This window comes from Homo sapiens, chromosome 9, assembly GCF_000001405.40.
Source record: "Homo sapiens chromosome 9, GRCh38.p14 Primary Assembly".
Lineage (NCBI taxonomy): Eukaryota > Metazoa > Chordata > Mammalia > Primates > Hominidae > Homo > Homo sapiens.
This window is the reverse complement of record NC_000009.12, coordinates 118,728,452-118,747,303: the sequence shown is the minus strand read 5'-3', so window position 1 is coordinate 118,747,303 and position 18,852 is coordinate 118,728,452. Positions and strand designations below refer to the sequence as shown.

The 18,852-nt window shown below is 40.4% G+C and overlaps 2 long non-coding RNA genes across 8 annotated transcripts in view; one reads left to right on the top strand and one right to left on the bottom strand.

Annotated features, from left to right (window-relative positions):
* Positions 1-1,991: 1,991 nt before the first annotated feature.
* LINC02578 (long intergenic non-protein coding RNA 2578) overlaps positions 1,992-18,852 on the bottom strand; it is a 65,642-nt gene continuing 48,781 nt past the window's right edge. Inside the window, exons 3-4 of the long non-coding RNA NR_151725.1 lie at positions 6,655-6,741; positions 1,992-2,160 (exon numbers count right to left, since the gene is read on the bottom strand). This is a non-coding gene — a long non-coding RNA (long intergenic non-protein coding RNA 2578). The remainder of the gene's footprint in view (positions 2,161-6,654; positions 6,742-18,852) is intronic.
* LOC102724929 (uncharacterized) overlaps positions 14,546-18,852 on the top strand; it is an 88,452-nt gene continuing 84,145 nt past the window's right edge. For 2 of the 7 annotated variants that reach the window (XR_930298.4, XR_007061892.1), the window contains exons 1-3: positions 14,546-14,590; positions 16,410-16,681; positions 18,267-18,571. This is a non-coding gene — a long non-coding RNA (uncharacterized LOC102724929). Of the gene's footprint in view, positions 14,591-15,909; positions 16,058-16,409; positions 16,682-18,266; positions 18,572-18,852 lie in introns of all 7 variants that reach the window. The other 5 variants (XR_930303.3, XR_428592.5, XR_930302.4 and 2 more) reach the window with 4 other exon arrangements.

Sequence of the window (18,852 nt, the reverse complement as noted above, 5' to 3'; positions counted from 1 at the left end):
AGAATAGAGAACAGAAAACACCCTCAGGGCTGGGAGCTGTGGCTCACGCCTGTAATCCCAGCACTTTGGGAGGCCAAAGCAGATGGATCACCTGAGGTCAGGAGTTCAAGACCATCCTGGCCAACATGGTGAAACCCAAACTCTACTAAAAATACAAAAAAATTAGCCGGGCATGGTGGTGGGTGCCTGTAATCCTAGCTACTCGGAAGGCTGAGGCAGGAGAATCGATTGAATCCTGGAGGCGGAGGTTGCAGTGAGCCGAGATCGCACCACTGCACTCCAGCCTGGGCAACAAGAGCAAAACTCTGTCTCAAAAATAAAGAAAAAGAGAAGAGAGAAAACACCCTCAAGTTGGCTTGGCTCTGCTTGAGTTTGATACAGATTCAGCAGCAATAATTTTAATGTTTAAATAGTATTGGTTATAAAACTATGAAAAAAAGAAGAAATGCTTGCCCCAAGCAAAATAGTTTATTCATCTTTAGGAATTAGATTTTTGTTAGTTATAGATATACTTCTCTGTGTCCTATTATTAGTGCATTGAGGACAACCCCATGACTGCCTAAATTGTGTGCAAATGGGGATATTGTCATTGCCTTCAATTTCTCTTCCCTTTTTCTCTGTGAGGCTACATTACATACTTTGGGCTGGCAGAAATAATCGTTGACATGTTCATGAAATATTAGTTGGTCTTTTTTTTGTAACAAAAAATGTCAAAAAAGTATTCAATTACTTTCACTAAGCTCTGAAAGGACAAAAAAATTAGAGTAAGTGACTAAAGTTAGGACACATAAAGTCTTTGGTGGTCACATTTCAGCAATGCACCAATTCATAAGTTAGCTCTTAAGATAATAGACCATATGTTTATAGAGGTCTAGGTCTTATCTCCCTCATAGACTGTGAGCTGCATCTGGGCCTGTTGAGGTTTGTCTCCACGTTCCACATAATCAGCCAACTTAAATTCCACCTTCCTGACATCTCAATCAGAATATAAAATACGGCTGGGGGCGGTGGCTCACGTCTGTAATCCCAGCACTTTGGGAGGCTGAGGTGGGTGGATCACAAGGTCAGGAGTTCAAGACCAGCCTGGTCAAGATGGTGAAACCTCATCTCTACTAAAAATATGAAAATTACCTGGGCATGGTGGTGGGGACCTGTAATCCCAGCTACTCAGGATTCTGAGGCAGAGAATTGCTTGAACCCGGGAGGCAGAGGTTTCAGTGAGCCGAGATTGCGCCACTGCACTCCAGCCTGGGTGACAGAGCGAAACTCCATCTCAAAAAAAAAAAAAAAAGGAATATAAAATACATGCAATAATGTTCACAATAAAATGTTAAGTGAAGCAAGCAAATGTACATTTGTAATTACTGGAGGCTTCTGAGTATATATGTATATATATTTATTTATATATACACACATTTCTAAACATATGAATAACGATATGGAAAAAGTGAAGGTAGGAATACATCAAAATGAAATAGTGACTAACCCTGGATGGTGGAGTTATAAGTGATTTCAACTTATTTTATGTACTCTTTTTTACTGACAAAATGTATTTATTGAACATTAAAGTAGAAATGACTGGCTGTTGACCAAAATACATTATTCCTGATCCATCATGTAGAGTTTTGCTAAGAAAAAGCTACTAAGCAGGCACTATGTTTCCCAGGCCCCCTTGCATCTGGGGCCCTGTGATTCCATGCTTGCCTTATAGAATGTGAGAGAATGGGAGACGTGTAATTAAAGAAGCAACTATACCTTCTCTATCTACTTTTTTCCTCAGAGGGGACTCTGAGGTCCTAAAAGTTGACAAAGCCGCATGGTAGAAGGAACATGGGTCCTTGAGTTACCCCTTGGAAGCTGCCTGCTAAGTAGAACAACTACATTTTTTGATTATCCAAGCAAAAATTAAGCTTCTGTTGTTAATCAAATTCCTTTGCCTGGTTTTCCCTAAGAACAGAGCCTATAAAAAAATTGTAGGCAGATAGTTTTTTAGGAATTTATTCAGAGAGCCAGAGTGAGGGGGTCACTGAAGGAAGTTAGAGACAGAGAAAAAGGGATTGTAAAGACATATTATTGAGTTGACCCTCACTGCAGACAGCTGGTGCACAATCCCACCAGGACTTCTGAAGAGGCATATAAATTTACCTCAGAACAGCATACCTGTGGAAGGGAAGGAGGGAGCATTTATACATCTGCTCTCATCTTCAAGTGGTCAAGAGCTGGTCCCTGGGGCACTGATTCTCTGGCTTCCAGGCTGCATATGATTGCACAGAGTATGTGATGAAAGTGTACCTTGCTAATCAGTCAGAGATGTCCTAGGGCAGAAAGACGGAGGTGCCTAATGCCTGTCTGATGCAAGGTCTTGCTATGTCATGCCTGAATTAGGCCATTCATGACTGACATGGCTGAAATAAGAGGTGAAGTTCAAAGGATTTCAAGTGGTCACTGAAAATGTATAATTGGTTTATTATAGTATCTAGCCTTGCATTAATTAAAATAAGCACATATTACTCTTAGAATTAGAAAGTACACACACACATATTTATATACATATACTTGTTTGGTTTTGCAGAATATCTCAGTATTTTTACGACATTTACTTCTTTTGATTCACGTTGAAAGTGTAACTAACAAGTGAGCCACAATGGGCATCTTTCCTCCTCAACTATTCAATCACCAAAGCCAATCAATTCCACCTCTTAAGCAGTGATTGGAACTTCCCCTGCTGTCACATCTGTTGACTCTTCTTTAGTTGGGGCCTTCATAAGTGCACCCATGAATTATAGCTAGAGCTCCCAATCCTCGTATTCATTTTTTAATATCTAAAATTAAATTGAACTGCAGTAAATCCCTGCTTAAAACCTACTTCAAGGGCTCCCCATTGTCACAACATTCAAGCTCTTTATGTGGAATTCTACACACTTCATAATCCAGTCCCAACACAGATGTCTAACTTCACCTCCATTATGCCCTAGGCTACACCTGGCACTTGAGGAAGATAGTAGTAATTCTCAGGAAACCCCAAGACTTGTCATGCCACTCTGATTCCGAGCATGCCTCTCAATACTGGGAATGCTCTCCTTAATTATTTATTTCCCCTAGGGCAGGTATTGGCCAACTACAACCCCCCCAGCCAAATTCAGCTCATCACCCATGAGCTAAGAATGTTCTTTTAAAAAATATTTGTAAATGACTGAAAGAAATGTTTAAAAGGTAATATTTCGTGACACATAAATAATCATATGACATTTAAATTTCATTGTCCTTAATACAAAATTTCTCAGAATACATCCATGTTTGCTTATTTGTTCACATATTGTCGGTGGCTTTTTTGGTGCTCTAATGCAGGGGCCTCCAACGCTCAGGCCAAGGACAGGTACAGGTCCATGGCCTGTTAGGAACCAGGCTGCCCAGCAGGAGGTGAGCAGCAGGTGAGCCAGCATTACCACTTGAGCTCTGCCTCCTGTCAGAGCAGTGAGGGGCATTAGATTCTCCTAGGAGCAGGGGCACGAACCCTACTGTGATCTGGGCATGCAAGGGATCCAGGCTGCTCACTCCTCATGAGAATCCAATTTATGCCTGATGATCTGAGGTGGAACAGTTTCATGCCGAAACCAGCCCTATTTCCTGTCCGTGGAAACATTGGCTTACACTAAACCAGTCCCTGGCGGCAAAAAGGTTGAGGACTGCACTGCTCTAAAGCAAGAGCTGAGTAGTTGTGACACAGATCTGCAGCCTACAAAGCCCAAAGTATTTATTACCTGGCTTTTTACAGAAAAACATTCACTGAGAAGTTCTACTCTTCCTTGTCAAGCCTGCCCATGAAGGGTCATTCCAGATCTTTGTGTCCACAACATTTAGTTCTTACCTACAGAAACATGCTTTCCCTAATTGTGAAACATGCATGTACATATCTTCTCCCCAGCCCTGCCTCATTACCTTCTTGGAAGCCAAGATCACGTCTTATTTATCTCTCATTGTCTCCTGGCCATTAACTTAGTGCCAAGTACACAGTGGGACTCAGCCAACATGGTTGAATGTGTCCAGTTCTGAGCCCTGCTTCCAGATACCATGGCTTTTTTTTTTTTCTTTTTGGAAAGTAAGTGGTTAATATCATGGGCTAGGGAGTTTCACTACCTGATTTGATTCTGGGTCTGGCACCTAAAGCTGTGCAACCTTAGGCAAATTATCTTAACCTCTCTAAGCCTCCCTATCCTCATTGACCAACAAAGATACTGATAGCAACTATTTCATAGGCTTGTTGTGAGAATTACATGCAAATTACTGTTCAACGTGCTAAGCACAGTGCGAGTGCATAGTACATTTCCAGTTAATATTAGCTATTATGATGATGTTTGCATAGTTCCTAAAGCTTAAATGAAATCCTGGGGTCTCCTGAGAGACATTGCTGACCAAACAATATCCCCTGCATGCACAGCTCTACGGCATTACTTGTTTTTCGGCTATTTTAACGCACACATTTGTTGTTAAATGAAATGATGTCTTTGTAGAGGCAAGGGAAAAGATCGACTTGAAAACACAGTCTTTTCATTTTATCTAAGAATCTCCCTCAATCTTGTTTTGCCTACATCTATCTTCTTCCCGCTGGGTTTGTTTTCCTTTTCTCTCCGTATTTCTTTCTGCCGGCTATGTCTCTCACTGCTTTCTCAACTAGTTTGATTACTTCATTTTGCTTTTTCATCCCTTTCAGCCTAACTTCCTTCCTCCTCACCTCGGGTGTCTTTCCTTTACTATGTATAGATTTTACTACTTCTCAGCTTTTCTTTTTTTCCTCTCCCTTCACTTTTTGTATCTCCCTGCTTCTATTTACCCTCCCTTTCTCTCCCTCTCTCCTATGTGTTTTTACTTTCTACCTCTCATTTTGTCTTATGAATCTTCCTTTATCTTTGAAATACAGACTTTTCTATCTTTATTCTTTCCTTTTTTCCATCCTATTTTCCTCTCATTTTGCTTTATTTCTGTCATCTCCTTATTATATCTCCTGGCTTTTCTTTTTTCTTCTTCCTTGTTTCTGCCTCCTCACACCACCTACACTGGTTTCTCTCCCTGGGTCCTGTGTGGGGTAGAGGCTGCTCTGGCTTCCAGATGGCCAGTAGATCAACAAAAAGCTATTAGTCCCCTAGCAGAGGAAGAAGTCAAGCTGTTGAGATGCTTGGGGAGCATCTCAAGGCCAGGCAGAAAATGAAGTGGTCAGGAAGGAAGTGGAGGTGGTGTTTAATGGAACAAAAATAAAATAGGTGAGAAAAAATGAAATGGAAAAACAGAGATTTACGACACAAGAGAATTTAGTTGGAATGAGATTGTCATCAGATCAGCTGGGGGGAGAGAATGGAAAAACAAGCTTGTTAAAGTGAATTCTTTCTCATAACCATGAGCTTTTTATATTCAGCTTGCCTGCTTGGCTTCTCAACACAGTTTTGTTCTTTGATAACCATTTTGTTTGATCCTTCCCTTCTCACCATACTTCGCTATTTACCCAGCCCTGTCTGATTTCCATTTACTGACTGATTTTCTTGAGCACTTTTGATTTCTAACCAAGAGGTTAGAAAAAGATCTAGTTTTATAAAGGTTAGAAGTGCAGATTCAGGATTCAGACAGGACTTAGAATTGGGCTTCAAAAATCAGGCTGTTTTTGTTATGCAAGAATACTATGAAATTACTTGTATCTATTACTGAGCACAGGCCTTGGAACAGATTAACTTGAATTACAATCCTGTTTCTCCACTGACAGTTTTGTGATCTTGGTAATTAGTTAACTTTTCTAATCCTATGCATTTTTATCACAGTGATAACAATACTTACTTTCACAGATAGGTTTGAGGTGATAAATAAATGAAATAATTGAGGGCAAGTGCCAGGGACAGTGCCCAGCATACGGTCAAGCTCTTTTAATGTTTGCTGGCTCATTATTACTATTTTAATAAATAGGCCCACCACTCCTTTATTATGAGTTGAGGCCAGCTTTTCTGGATTACCCTCCCACTGCCACTCCAGATCAAATGCTTTTTGGTGCTGCACAGATCGCCTCATGATTAAGACTCACTTTCCTAGGTTGGTGCCCAGGAGACACCATGATTTGCTCAGCAGAAAGATGTGTGTTTTGGTAGACTTCAAAATTGTGTTAAACCTCACCCACCCGCCATTTCCATGCCCTCCCCTTCTTGGTTCCTACTAGGGGAAGGACAAAGGAAAGGTTGAACCATCTCCCAAGAGACCCAGCATAGCCCATGAATTCACCACTTCCAGCTTAAATAGCTATCCAGAATTCAACACACATCACACACAACTCCCCCCTTCCACAGCATTGGATGATTTTAGCTACTGGTGAGAATCTCATCATAAAAACCATTTCTTTCCATGTCTCTCCTTTCCATCACCAACTCCACCATCCCCACAGCCCACCCTTTGGAAACATTCTTTACACCCACCCCGTGCATTTAAACCTGGTATTAAGAGGGTACAACCCAGCTGGAAATTTCCAAAGGTAATTTCACTGAGTCCTCCTGCATGCTTCATTTCAATACAAAGGGGCAGCAGCCTGTAAACCAAAGGGACACAGCAAAGTTTACTGCACACCTCGCTGACCTGGGATGTTGCAGGTGACTCTCAGCAAGTCCCTCTGTTATACTTTACCTCAGTTTCCTCGACGGCACAATGCCAAAGGATCTTTGCAGTTGGTCCTGGCTCCAGCATCACACGTTCAGAATTCCAAGCTGTATTCTGGTGAATGCAGATATCCAAAGAGACTTTGTTTTTACTTCCTGTGTCCATTACCTGGATACTAGTATACCTAAAAACTTCACCAATTTCTGTCCTGTTTCCCAACTTCAGGACATACAAATTCCAAAAGCATGCATGTCCAAAGAGGGTTATAGAGAAGAACCACCTTCCTGGGAAATGGTAGCAGCATTGTGTGACGGTGAGTTACAACTGGCTCTCTCCAATGCCAAACCATTGAATTTGAAAAATAAAGATGTTGGGGTCTGGCACAGTGGCTCATGCCTGTAATCCCAGCACATTGAGGGGTCAAGGCAGGATGATCACTTGAGACCAGGAGTTCAAGACCAGCCTGGCCGACATGGTGAAATCCTGTCTCTACAAAAATTAGCCGGGCAAGGTGGTAGACTCCTATAATCCCAGCTACCTTGGGAGGCTGAGGCACGAGAATAACTTGAACTCAGGAGGCAGAGGTTGCAGTGAGCTGAGATTGTGTCACTGTACTCCAGCCTGGGCCACAGAGTGAGACTCCTTTTAAAAATACAAAAAAGATGTTAGGGGCACCATTTCTTCAGATTTCAACTGTAAAACAAATTCTGAAAAATGATTTTTCAGAGAAAAAATTAGGGATGATCTGTAGTTTGGTTATTTGTCCCTGTCCAAATCTCATGTTTAAATATAACCCCCAGTGTTGCACTTGGGGCCTGGTGGGAGGTGTTTGGATCATGGGGGTTGATCCCTCATGAATCACTTGAGCTGCCCCCTTGGTGGTAAGTGGGATCTCACTCTGCATTCTCATAAGATCTGGTTGTTTAAAAGTGTATGGCACCTCTCCCTCTGCGCCTTCTCACTTGCTCCTGCATTCACTGTGTGACATGCATGCTCCCACTTCGCTTTCCACCTTGAGTAAAAGCTCCCTGAGGCCTCCCCAGAAGCCAAGTGACATCAGCACAATGCTTGTATGGCCTGCAAAACTGTGAGCCAATTAAACCTCTTTTCTTTCAAACTTACCGCTTCTCAGGTATTTCTTTATAGCAATGCAAGAACAGTCTAAGATAGATGAAGAGATAAGAAAGGGAAAAAGGAGTTTGGGTAATAACGTTCTGACAAGCAACCAAGGTAATCCAGTGCAGGCATGGGTCTCTCTTCAGTGTATACTTTATTTTGAGTGCTTCTTTTAGCTAGGAATTGTAATTTCATCAGATGAGCATCTCACATGTTGAAAAGTAGATACCTGTTGTAATGCTGGCTGCATATCTCCAAATGAAACAATAGGCAATGAAAGGGAAAACATGGTTGTAAACAAAGAGACTCAATTATAGCAAACAATTTTATGTTCTAGAAGGAAAAATACATTTAAGGTGATAAAGAGATGCCAAAGAGGGGTGGTTAATAAAATTTAAGAAAAGAAAGAAATAGGAGAGGGATCTTACAAGGTAAAAATTGTTGTATAATAGAAAAGAACATTGGATTGGGAATAAAGAGACCTGGCATCTAATCGAAATGGCACAAACTACCTCATGATGCTGTGAGCCTCTATGAACCTCAGTAGACTCATGTGTGAAATAGGGAAACAAAAAGCTTTTCCTATCTTTCCCATGATAAAAAGTTGCTGTGAGAATCAAATGACATCACAGCAATAAAGGTGCTTTGTTAACTGTACCCACCTAAGGGACATTTTTATTATAAAATGTCGAATTCATTCTAAGCTTATTAAGAGTGGTGCATCCCAGAGAGTCAGGTTCTCAGGTTTAAAATGAAATAACAACTTGTGAATGAGTCTTCTTAATCTTCTTCATGTGGCAGACTTCCTTTTGCCTGAGCAAAAGACTCTGGAGGACTAGAAGTCGCCAGGTTGGATGTGAACTAATGGAGAGACCTAAGGCACTCCCTCTGTTTTCTCTGCTTGATGGGCATTGCTCAGGAGGAGGCATGGGTTTGCTCTTCAGGCAATCTGAGCAATTGATCATCCTGCTTCTTTCTGTGCTGGTCTAGAGCCTTTATTGATAAACAGAAACATGGCCTTTTCTCCCATCTGACAGTAGAAAAATTCTTATAATACAGTCATAGTGTGATAAATACCATTTGAAGTAATGTTCTCCAGTAACCTCACTTTACTGGGAGTTCCTGCCAACCATTTTTAATTATGTGACTATATACACATATTTCTCATGCTGATTGGATTAAACAGAGATGCCTGATCAAAACTAGTCTAGTTACAGTTTCTTCCTGAGAGTTTGGGGTGGAGAGAGAGAGGGAGAGATAATTTTGGGTTATTAGAACTTAAATCCAGATTCTATGATGACATGGGTATCTCCCTCTTTCTTATTCTTTCTAAGTGGACTGAAAAAGTGAGGAAAGTTATTGGTCTGGGAGAAGATTAAACAGATCAAGATAAAATTAACATGGTTTTTTTCACCTGAGTCCCAGTATCAGGCTGTCTTAGTTGTATCTTTACCTCAAGGAAACATGACTCTCTCTTTTATGCTTATAATGAGGCTTCTTTTCCTTTAAGTTATCTAGAATTAGTTGCTGTGTCTTGAAGCCAAATATATAATTTATTCACAAATTCATATTGATTATATGCAAAGAGATCTGATATTAGGAGCTAAGCAGCAAGAGTTCCAGTCTTGACTCTCATGTAATATTTACTATGTGTGTTAGGCTGTTCTTGTATTGCTATAAACAAATACCTGAGACTGTGTAATTTACAAAGAACAGAAGTTTAATTGGGTTATGGTTTTGCAAGTTGTGCAAGCATGGCACAGGTATCTGCTTTGGTTCTTGGGAGGCTTCAGGGAGCTTTGACTTATGGCAGAAGATGAAGCAAGAGCAGGCATCTCACATGGCAGAGCAGGAGCAGGGGTTTGCAGGGAGGTGCCACACACTTTTAAATAACTGGACCTTGTGAAAACTCTCTCACTTTGGTGAGGACTGCACCAAACTATAAGAGATCCTTCCCTATGACCCAAACTCCTCCCACCAGACCCCATGTCCAACACTGGGGATCACAATTTAACATGAGATTTGGGCAAGAGATATATCCAAACTATATCATTACACCCCCTGGACCCCAAAATCTCATCCTTCTCACATTATAAAATATAATCATACCTTCCTCCAAGTCTTAAATAATTCCAGAATTCATTTGAAAGTCCAAAGTCTCATCCAAGACAAGGTAAATTCCTTCCACTTATGAGCTTGTAAAATCAACAACAAGTTAGTTACTTCCATGATGCATTGGTGGTATATGCATTAGGTAAACATTCCTGTGCCAAAAGGGAGAAATTGGCCACAAGAAAGGGGCTATAGTTCCCATGCAAGTTTGAAACCCAGGGTAGTCATTACATCTTAAAGCTCCAAAATAATCTCTTTTGACTTAATGTCCCACATCCAGGGTACACTGGTGCAAAGGATGAGCTCTCAAGGCCTTGGGCAGCTCCATCCCTGTGGTTTTGCAGGGTTCAGCCCTTGCAGCTGCTCTTGCAGGTGCCTAAAGCTTTTTCCAAGCACAGGGTGCAAACTGCCAGTGGATCTACCATTTTGGGGTCTGGAGGACAGTGGCCCCCTTCTCACAGCTCTACTAGGCAGTGCCCCAGTGATGACTCTGTGTTGGGGTTCCAAGCTCACATTTCTCCTCCATACTGCCCTAATAGAGGTTCTCAGTGAGAGCCTGCATTTGCAGCAGGCTTCTGTTTGGGCACCCAGGGTTTCTCATACATCCTCTGATATCTAAACAGAGGTTGCCAAACCCCCTTCACTCTTGCACTTTGTGGGCTGGCAGACTTAATATCACATGGAAGCTGCCAAGGCTTATGGTGGCTTGCCTTTTCCAAAGCAGCAGCCCTAGCTGTACTGGAGCCCTTTGAGCCACAGCTGAAGCTGAAGCTGCCTGGATGCAGGGAGCAGTGTCTCAAGGCTGTGTGGGACAGCACCATCCTGGCCCTGGCCCACAAAACCATTTAGTCCTCCTAGGCCTCCAGGCTTGTGATGGAAGGGAGTGCCTCCATCACACTTTGAAATGCCTTCAAGGCCTTTTTGCCATGTTTGTGGCTATCAGCACCTAGCTTTTTTATTACATAAATCTTATAGCAAGTGGTTGCTCCACAACCTGCCAGAATTCCTCTCCTGAAGAAGTTTTCCCTTTCTCTGCCATATGGCCAGGCTGCAAATTTTCCAAACTTGTACACTCTTCTTTTCCCTTAAATATACCTTCCAACTTTAAGTCATTTATTTGCTTCCATATCTGAGTATATGTTGTTAGAAGCAGCCTTGCCACTTCTTAAACACTTTGCTCCTTAGAAATTTCTTCCATCAGATACCGTAAATCATCACTTTCAAGTTCAAATTTTCACAGAAACCCTAGGGCATAAGCAGAATGCAGCCAAGCTCTTTGCTAGCCAAGCTCTTTGCTAAGCCATAACAAGGGTGACTTTTACTCCAGTTCCCAGTAACTTTCTTATTTTCTGTCCGAGATTTCATCAGCCTGGCCTTCACTGTCCATATTATTATCAGTATTTTGGTCACAACCATTTAACCAGTCTGTAAGAAGTTCCAAGCTTCCCCTCATCTTCCTATCTTCTTCTGAACCTTCCAAACTCTTCCAGTTTCCCATTTTCCAGTTCCAAAATTGTTTCCATATTTTCAGGTATCTTTATAGCAATGCCCCACTCCTCAATACTAATTTTCTGTGTTAGGCCATTCTTGCATTACTACAGAGAAATGCCTGAGACTGGGTAATTTATAAAGAAAAGAGATGTCATTGTTTCATGGTTCTGCAAGCTGTACTAGCATGGCACAGGCATCTGCTTGGTTTCTGAAGAGGCCTCAGAGAGCTTTTGCTCATAGTGAAAGGTAAGGCAGGGGTAAGCATGTCACATGGCAAAAGCAGGAGTAAGAGAGAAAGTGGGTGGGGAGGTGCCACACTTTACAACAAGCAGATCTTTCAAGAACTCATGCACTATCACAAGGACAGCACCAAGCCATAAGGGATCCACACCCATGACCCAAACACCTCCCACCAGGCCCCACCTCCAACATTAGGGATTACATTTCAACATGAGATTTGGGTAGGGACAATTATGCAAACTCTGTCAGTATGCAATAGTTGGAAAGTTGATTACCTTTCTTGAGCCTCAGTGCCATCATGTACAATCAGCAAAAATAGTCTGAGTTATATCAAGGCTGGTTGGAGAATAATGGATTTAGAAGAGTTTTATGAATTATGCAAACATTAAAAAATTATTATAAATTATATGTGTTTTTGTTTTCTTTTAAAATGCACTCTTAGCCTAAATCAGAGGCCTTCTAACCTCAGGTTCTAAACTATATTTTGAATGTTATTCTGTACAATATTTAAACTAGATCTCTCTCTTTCTCTCTCTCTCTCTCTCTCACACACACACACATGCCCTTCTTTAAAATGTCCTGCAGTTTCCTGTCATTGTTCATACCTATGCTCTCTCTCCCTTTTGCACTAGTGTCTCCAGCACTGCTTCCCTAATTATCACCATATCTTTTTTTGCCCATTTCATTTCTGTGCTCTTATTTTTGAAGAAATAACTCCAATGTCCTAGCCTTTATAATTGCTTCTTAGATACACCCAGTGCAAACTCTTACCATTTTCATGAAGAACTTGGGCATGTTATGACACATCTTACAGCCTGCCTGCTATGGTAGTCTGTGTCATCAACTTAGGGTGGAAAACTTGGGCTTGACAGACTAGCAGACACGGATTTGAATCTTGGCTCAGCCTCTAATAAGCCATATAATTTGAGGAAGTTCTTTCGTTTTCTTTAACTGTTCCAAGGAAGTTTCCTCATTGAAAAAATAAGACTGATAATAGAACTTATCTCATGAGTCTGTTGGGAGGACGAGATAAAATGGTATGCAAAATATTTAGCATCCTCCTTTAGCACATAGTAAGTAAGAAATTATAGCTATTATGACAGTTTCTGTCAGTCCTGCCTGGTTTTCATAAGCTTAATACTTTCTTCTTCCATATCTCTGTTCTGTGGAATATAGCCCTGTATACTGCATGGTCCAGAATCTCATATGAAGAGATACATAGATATTCAAACAACAGGAGCACTGAAATGGTATTGGAGGGTGAGAGGATGGGAGAATTCAGAGTATTTGTCCCTCAACACCCACCTCCACTTCCACCTTAGGTGATGTCTATACTCGTGGCTGGTTCTCCTTTGTTTCTCTGTTTAGTCCATTGGACAAATTTCCTGTGGTTCTATGAGACCTTGTCTCAGAATCTAGCAATATCACGATTTGTCTCCTTTCCTTTTAAAAATTAGGGATGGTTGTGTAGTTCAGCTGTTGATAGTCTTGGGGTGCCTCCCTGACCCTCATTGTCTTCTCTTCTCTTCCATCACTTGTGTAATAAATTCCTTGTACTAGGTTTCCCCTCAGAATAGTTTTTATTTTCCTGGTTGAACCTTCATCAACACTGGCCACCCCTACCCACATTCCAGGTAGACTGGAAATTTATTTTAAATAGAACATATATCTACATTTACTAGATTTTCTTATAGAAAAATATGTACGTGAGTAATGCTAAACACATATTTATTGAATTCAATATTTGTACACAGTGATTTACCAACTTTTGCCTGTCTCTTTTGTCAATTGTATCACGCCACTTGTGAGGTTAGGTCTAAGCCTGGAAAACTGAATGAGCAATATCTCCGTCTATTCTCTGATGCCCATGTACTAATGACCAGGAGACAGGTTCAGGATGATCATGGGTTGTAGACTGTGTTCTATGCAGTTTGCTCCTTTTATTCCCTCCTAGATGTAATAAAGACTTTATGCATCAAATTCAGTTCCATCTCATTTCATTTGTCGTGTTAATTTTGTCTTAATTTTTTCATTTACTCTGCCAAGTCTATAGGCAAAAATTGCAGAATTTGAGAAGCCTATTAAGTAAACCCAACTTTTAGTAGTACAGGGTAATATGGTACAGATACAGGGCCAAATGTAGTCTGAAGGCTACCTAGCCATGCCTTGTCTTTTCTGGATTCTAAATAACTGGATTTCGAAAATCAGGCAACATATGTTTCTTCTTTTTAATATGCTTTCCTGCTAAGTCAAGAGTTGCAAACACATGACATTCAGGCTGCCTTTTTCAGTGCCTATTGTACTCCAATCAATCGAAGCTAGTTCTCAGGATAAACTGCATTGTCATTTCTTTTAAGTATTTGTTCTTGCTTTGTTTTGTCTTTTCATGATATAGCCATGGTTGCTGTCTGCCAATACCCATGTTTCTCCTTTTTCATTGGGAAGCAGCCATGGGTTTAGAGGAGATTAAGTGTCCCAGCTCTTCTTGTACTATTTAAAATTTATCTAATCCCATAGGGAACCCCACCCCATTGTTATAGTGATTAATTCAGGTAACAGAGGCTTAAGCCAGTCAGAGGACAACATGCCCATGGTCAGTGGCATTGATATAAAAATGTGTATGTGATTAAAGTTGAATCAATGAGTCATGGGAGAAGATTTTCTAAGGGCTTTATAGAAATAGTTACTTGCCCTTCCGGGTAAGCTATCAAAAACCAACCCACTAGTAGTTACTGGGAAATTGTAGTACAAGAAGTAGCTTAACAATCTTGACCCCAGGAGTGAAGCCAGCCTTATAATGATGTTGAAATTGGCACAAAGGAAGGCAGAGTAGAGAGACAGAAGAAAGCTACTTGCTTAGAGAGACCACTGAGCTACTGAATGAAACATACTGAAGACCTTCCACTTTATGAGGTCATAAATAAGTCCTCTTTGTTGTTTGAGTCACTTTGAGAGGACTATTCCTAAAAGCCAAATTTAACAACACATCCAGCCTCAGACTCAGGTAAGTTCTGCTTCAGCCACCACTTTTTCCCTACATAGTCTCCAGCTCCATCTCTCAGATCACATTAGGCCCATTTTTCTTCTTCATTGTTCTTACTTTAATGGTCCCTTCTTACAGATCTCTACCACCTCCCAGCACCTGACTCACCTTCACAGCTGATTTTCATTTGTTTTACTGCTCTTCATAAGCCATCACTTATTACTCTCCCTCTTTTTTTTTTTTTTTTTTTTTTTTTTGGTATTCTAATACTCAGTAGTGACATCCTTTGGAGAGGGGAAGAAGATAGTTTCATATAGGCTCTGATTTAAATTTCAGAGTTGCAGCCTCGGGGTCAAATTGACTGAACTGACAATTCATTATTTTGCTTTTCTTCTTTTGTGTGTTGTTTTAAATGAGTTTCGGAGAATTTTATAGATAAATGGGACCTTGAAAGATGTACTAGCCAAACCCCTTTATATAATAGCTAGAGAAATGGAGGTTTGAAAATGTTAAGTGGCTTGCCCCATATCACACAGCTGGGGATCTTGAAGAAAGATTATAGCTCAGGTATGCTGACTCCCAGCCAGTGCCTTCATTCTGACCTCATGCCCACTTTCATTCATAACACAGCATTTTACTAGGGGCTTTAGTTGCAGATATCCTGCACAGAGCTCTGAGATTTGGCTGCTCCCAGACGGCACATCAAGTAGACACAGAAATGTTGCTGCTGTCATTCACCCACTGGACAAGGACCTGGTCAGGCAGCCTGACAGGTTCAAGATTCACCCATAATTCCCCAGATCAAGAACTGGCTGCTGTTGACAGCAGGGGAGGCCAGAGTGGTTCAGAGTTTCAATCCAGTCAGATCTATTTTCAGAATGATAATGTGAAGTGAATTTTCTTAGAAACTGGTGAAAGAGTAACAAAGAAAATTTAAAAGCTATCTTATTTTATCATAAAATCCAAAGCTCTCCAAAGATTCGGAAAATGTGTTACTTGAGGCCATTGAGGCTTTAGGGAGGTAGTGTATCTAAATGGTTAAAGACCTAACACTCTGAAGTTAAACCCTCTGGTTTGTAGCCATCTCTGACAGTTATTAGCTCCATAACCTGGAGTAGCTCGTTAACTTCTCCAAGCCTCAGTTTTCCCTTCTGTGAACTGGAGACTAGAGTAGTACCTGATTCATAGGATTTCTGGGAAGGTTAAGTGAGTTAATTTAGGTAAAATGCTTAGAATAATGTCTGGCATATTGCACACCTTAAATAAGTTATTACTATTAATATCAACATCACATTTTTTATGTTCATTTTCGTCAATTACAATGTTTTTATATTTTGCAGAAAAGATGGAAGGTCATATATAAATTTTTTTAAATGAGTGAAAAAGAGAGAAGAGGTGAATAAATGTGAGAACCAGGGAAAGCGAATAAAAAGGATACAAGGAAAGATGAAGGGGAGAATAAGGAGAAATGGGAGGTAGGAGGCAGAAGTGAGTGACTCATTTGTTCTACTCACATACACTGAGGACCAATATTTGACCCAGGTACAATGTTTGTTCCAGGAGTAAACCTTCTTCCTAACTGAACAAAATCAAAAAACAAAAACACAAGATTACTGTCTTTTGTCTTTATAAGAAAGACAAAAACTAACCACAAAAATATAATCATAACTTTCTGTAAAGGCTACATTATGTGGTCAAAGCAGGCTTTCCTGAGGAAGGGACATTCACCAAGAGTTTTCTATAACCTAAGTATCAGGCATATGCGCATACGTTATTACAATTCTATTTATACATTTAGTTTTTCATTTATTGCTTTATACACTCATCCTTCATTTTCTAGCAACTATACCCCAGACCATTTGCATCATGCTTGGAGTATACTGTTAGAATACAGAAAGGCAGCTGTGTAAAGAAATAAGGGTCATGAAATCTGATGAAGAGTTATGAGGTCATATACAAGAAGGTGGGAAAATAAGGAGATCATCAGAAAAAAAAAAGACTCAGAAGAAAACTAGTGGTTTTTGTTGCTGTTTTGTGTTGTTTTTATCAACTCTGTGCCAGCCACTCTGACAATTCACAGATGCCATCTCATTTGTAAAACCATCTCATCTGGTAAGTCATGAAGATTCTAAAATTCAACATAGAGAAAGGGCTGGAGTCCAGGCTCAGAGTCTTTCTCTTCTAGGATAGTACATGGCACTGGGCAGAGGAGGGTTTCAGTGGAAGACGCCTTGCTAATAAAAGGAGAGAGAATAGCACGCTTGGCTGCTGTAGGGAGAACCTGTCCAAGTTTGTCCCTAGAGAGGTGGTAGAACTCTGCCATTAGACAGAGTGGTGCAGAGAGCTTTACACTGTGCTGTCACCTCTCATGCCTACAGCAATCAGGCTCTCCTACTTCATTTCTTTCTTCTGGCTTCTCAGCCAAATCATACCCTCTCTTTTTCAAAGACAGTGTTCTATCTAGCTCTTTATAAAGCTGATGTCAGATAATGCGGCTAGCATACTTACTGTTGAACAACTGCCATATTAGGCTTGTGGTGGGTGTCTGGACTAGAAAAGTAGAGTGAAACTGAATCTTAGTGGTGTGGACCCATTCATGGCTGGGTTGTAGGGAGTACGTGCTTCTGCTGAAATTCAGGACTTATTGTGTGAGCATGTGTTCATGTGCATTTTTATAAAAAGTGAGGATTTTTAGCTATTCTCACATTTTCCAGGAATCAATGACAATAACATGCCTAGTAATTAAATACTGATTATGCATCCACCTTTTACAGACTAAGACCATTGATTGACTAATAGACCAGGTCATGTTTATAAAAAAGCAGAAATGAAAGAGAACACCTGTTCATCAATATATGAATTAGTGCTGTGCAAAACATATTATCATAGGTGAATATAAAAAATAAAAGCTTTATTTTCCTTATTTCCAAAACTTTGGAAATACCAACAGACAGATTGGCCAAGGTCGCACAGTACAAGGTTGAGTTTAAAGTAGTATACAGATGTCCAGGCTTTCAGGATTATATTTTTTTAAGTTTTTAACATTCTTTCATCTTCAAAGGATTAAAGTTATAAACAATTTTACCTATGGGAACTATAAAAATTGAGGATTCTATGATTTTAGAGTAGCATGAATAAAGTATGAACATATTTCTCTCACTTAAATAGGTTGTATTCTGCTTCAAATACATTGTATTCTGCCACTTTATCAACACAATAAGTATGCTATATGTGTTGATAAAGAGCAAATTTTACTATAAAACTATGATATGAATATAAAGGAATCAACTTAAGCATGGCAATAAAGTACCATTATGCTACCCAGAAAGCTGGAGTATGACTAAACTTGGTAAATTCTGAAATTTTGGAAGTACTAATCTGGGCTACAGAGGGCTCTTCCTGTAGTCTAATCAACATAATGAAGCCTGTTTTAAGGATGGAGAGAGCTTTTTAATATATTATTCTTGCCCTTTCTTTCTTACTCCTTTTATTTACTGACTTGTCCAGGCTTCATGATAGCGTGGAAATAACATAGAATTCAAAGGGGAATAGGCTCACATTTAAATGTTGGAGCCATCATTTCATTTTGGTAGTAATAAGAATAAAACTGTAAAAGCTTGTTACATTTGCAGCAGTTGTTTTGTATCTGAAACTGGGCTAAAAACTTTGTATCCATTATCTTATTTAATCCTCATAGTAAACCATCAGAGTTGATCTTCTATTATTCTCATTTTATATGCTTGGAAATTAATACTGAAAATTTGGACTGGGTATCCAAGGCAAGACACCTAACTAGATGCCACCAGGAAGAACATCTCCCACAAAAACAGACCAAAATATCCAGTAAATCAGCATACTCAGAACAGATCATCTGAAGGAATGAACTAAAAGAGATTAGAAAGACAACCCAGACACCAGGATGAAAGGGAGAGGAAGCTGGGAATCCTTCTTGGGGTTGCTGAATATGGGACATGTTCCAGGCCCTGAATGGCTCTGAGTTACGTAAGTCACTAGACCTGGAGAGAGCAGGGCTGTCTTTCCTGCAGGTCCAGGATGAATCTCATCTGTGAACCCCACTGTCCACCAGTCCCTTTCGGAGTCCCTGCCTAGCCATGTCTGCATGGAGCACAGCCTTAACTACCCCACCAGAGCACTTTTGCCAATGTCCACCACCATAGTGGTTTTGTCCAAGCACCCCTGCTGCCCTACCAGAGCACTTTTGCTGACAGCCTCCCATCTGAATGTGTTCTCCTGCAACCCTATCACTACCCGCTTGGAGCACA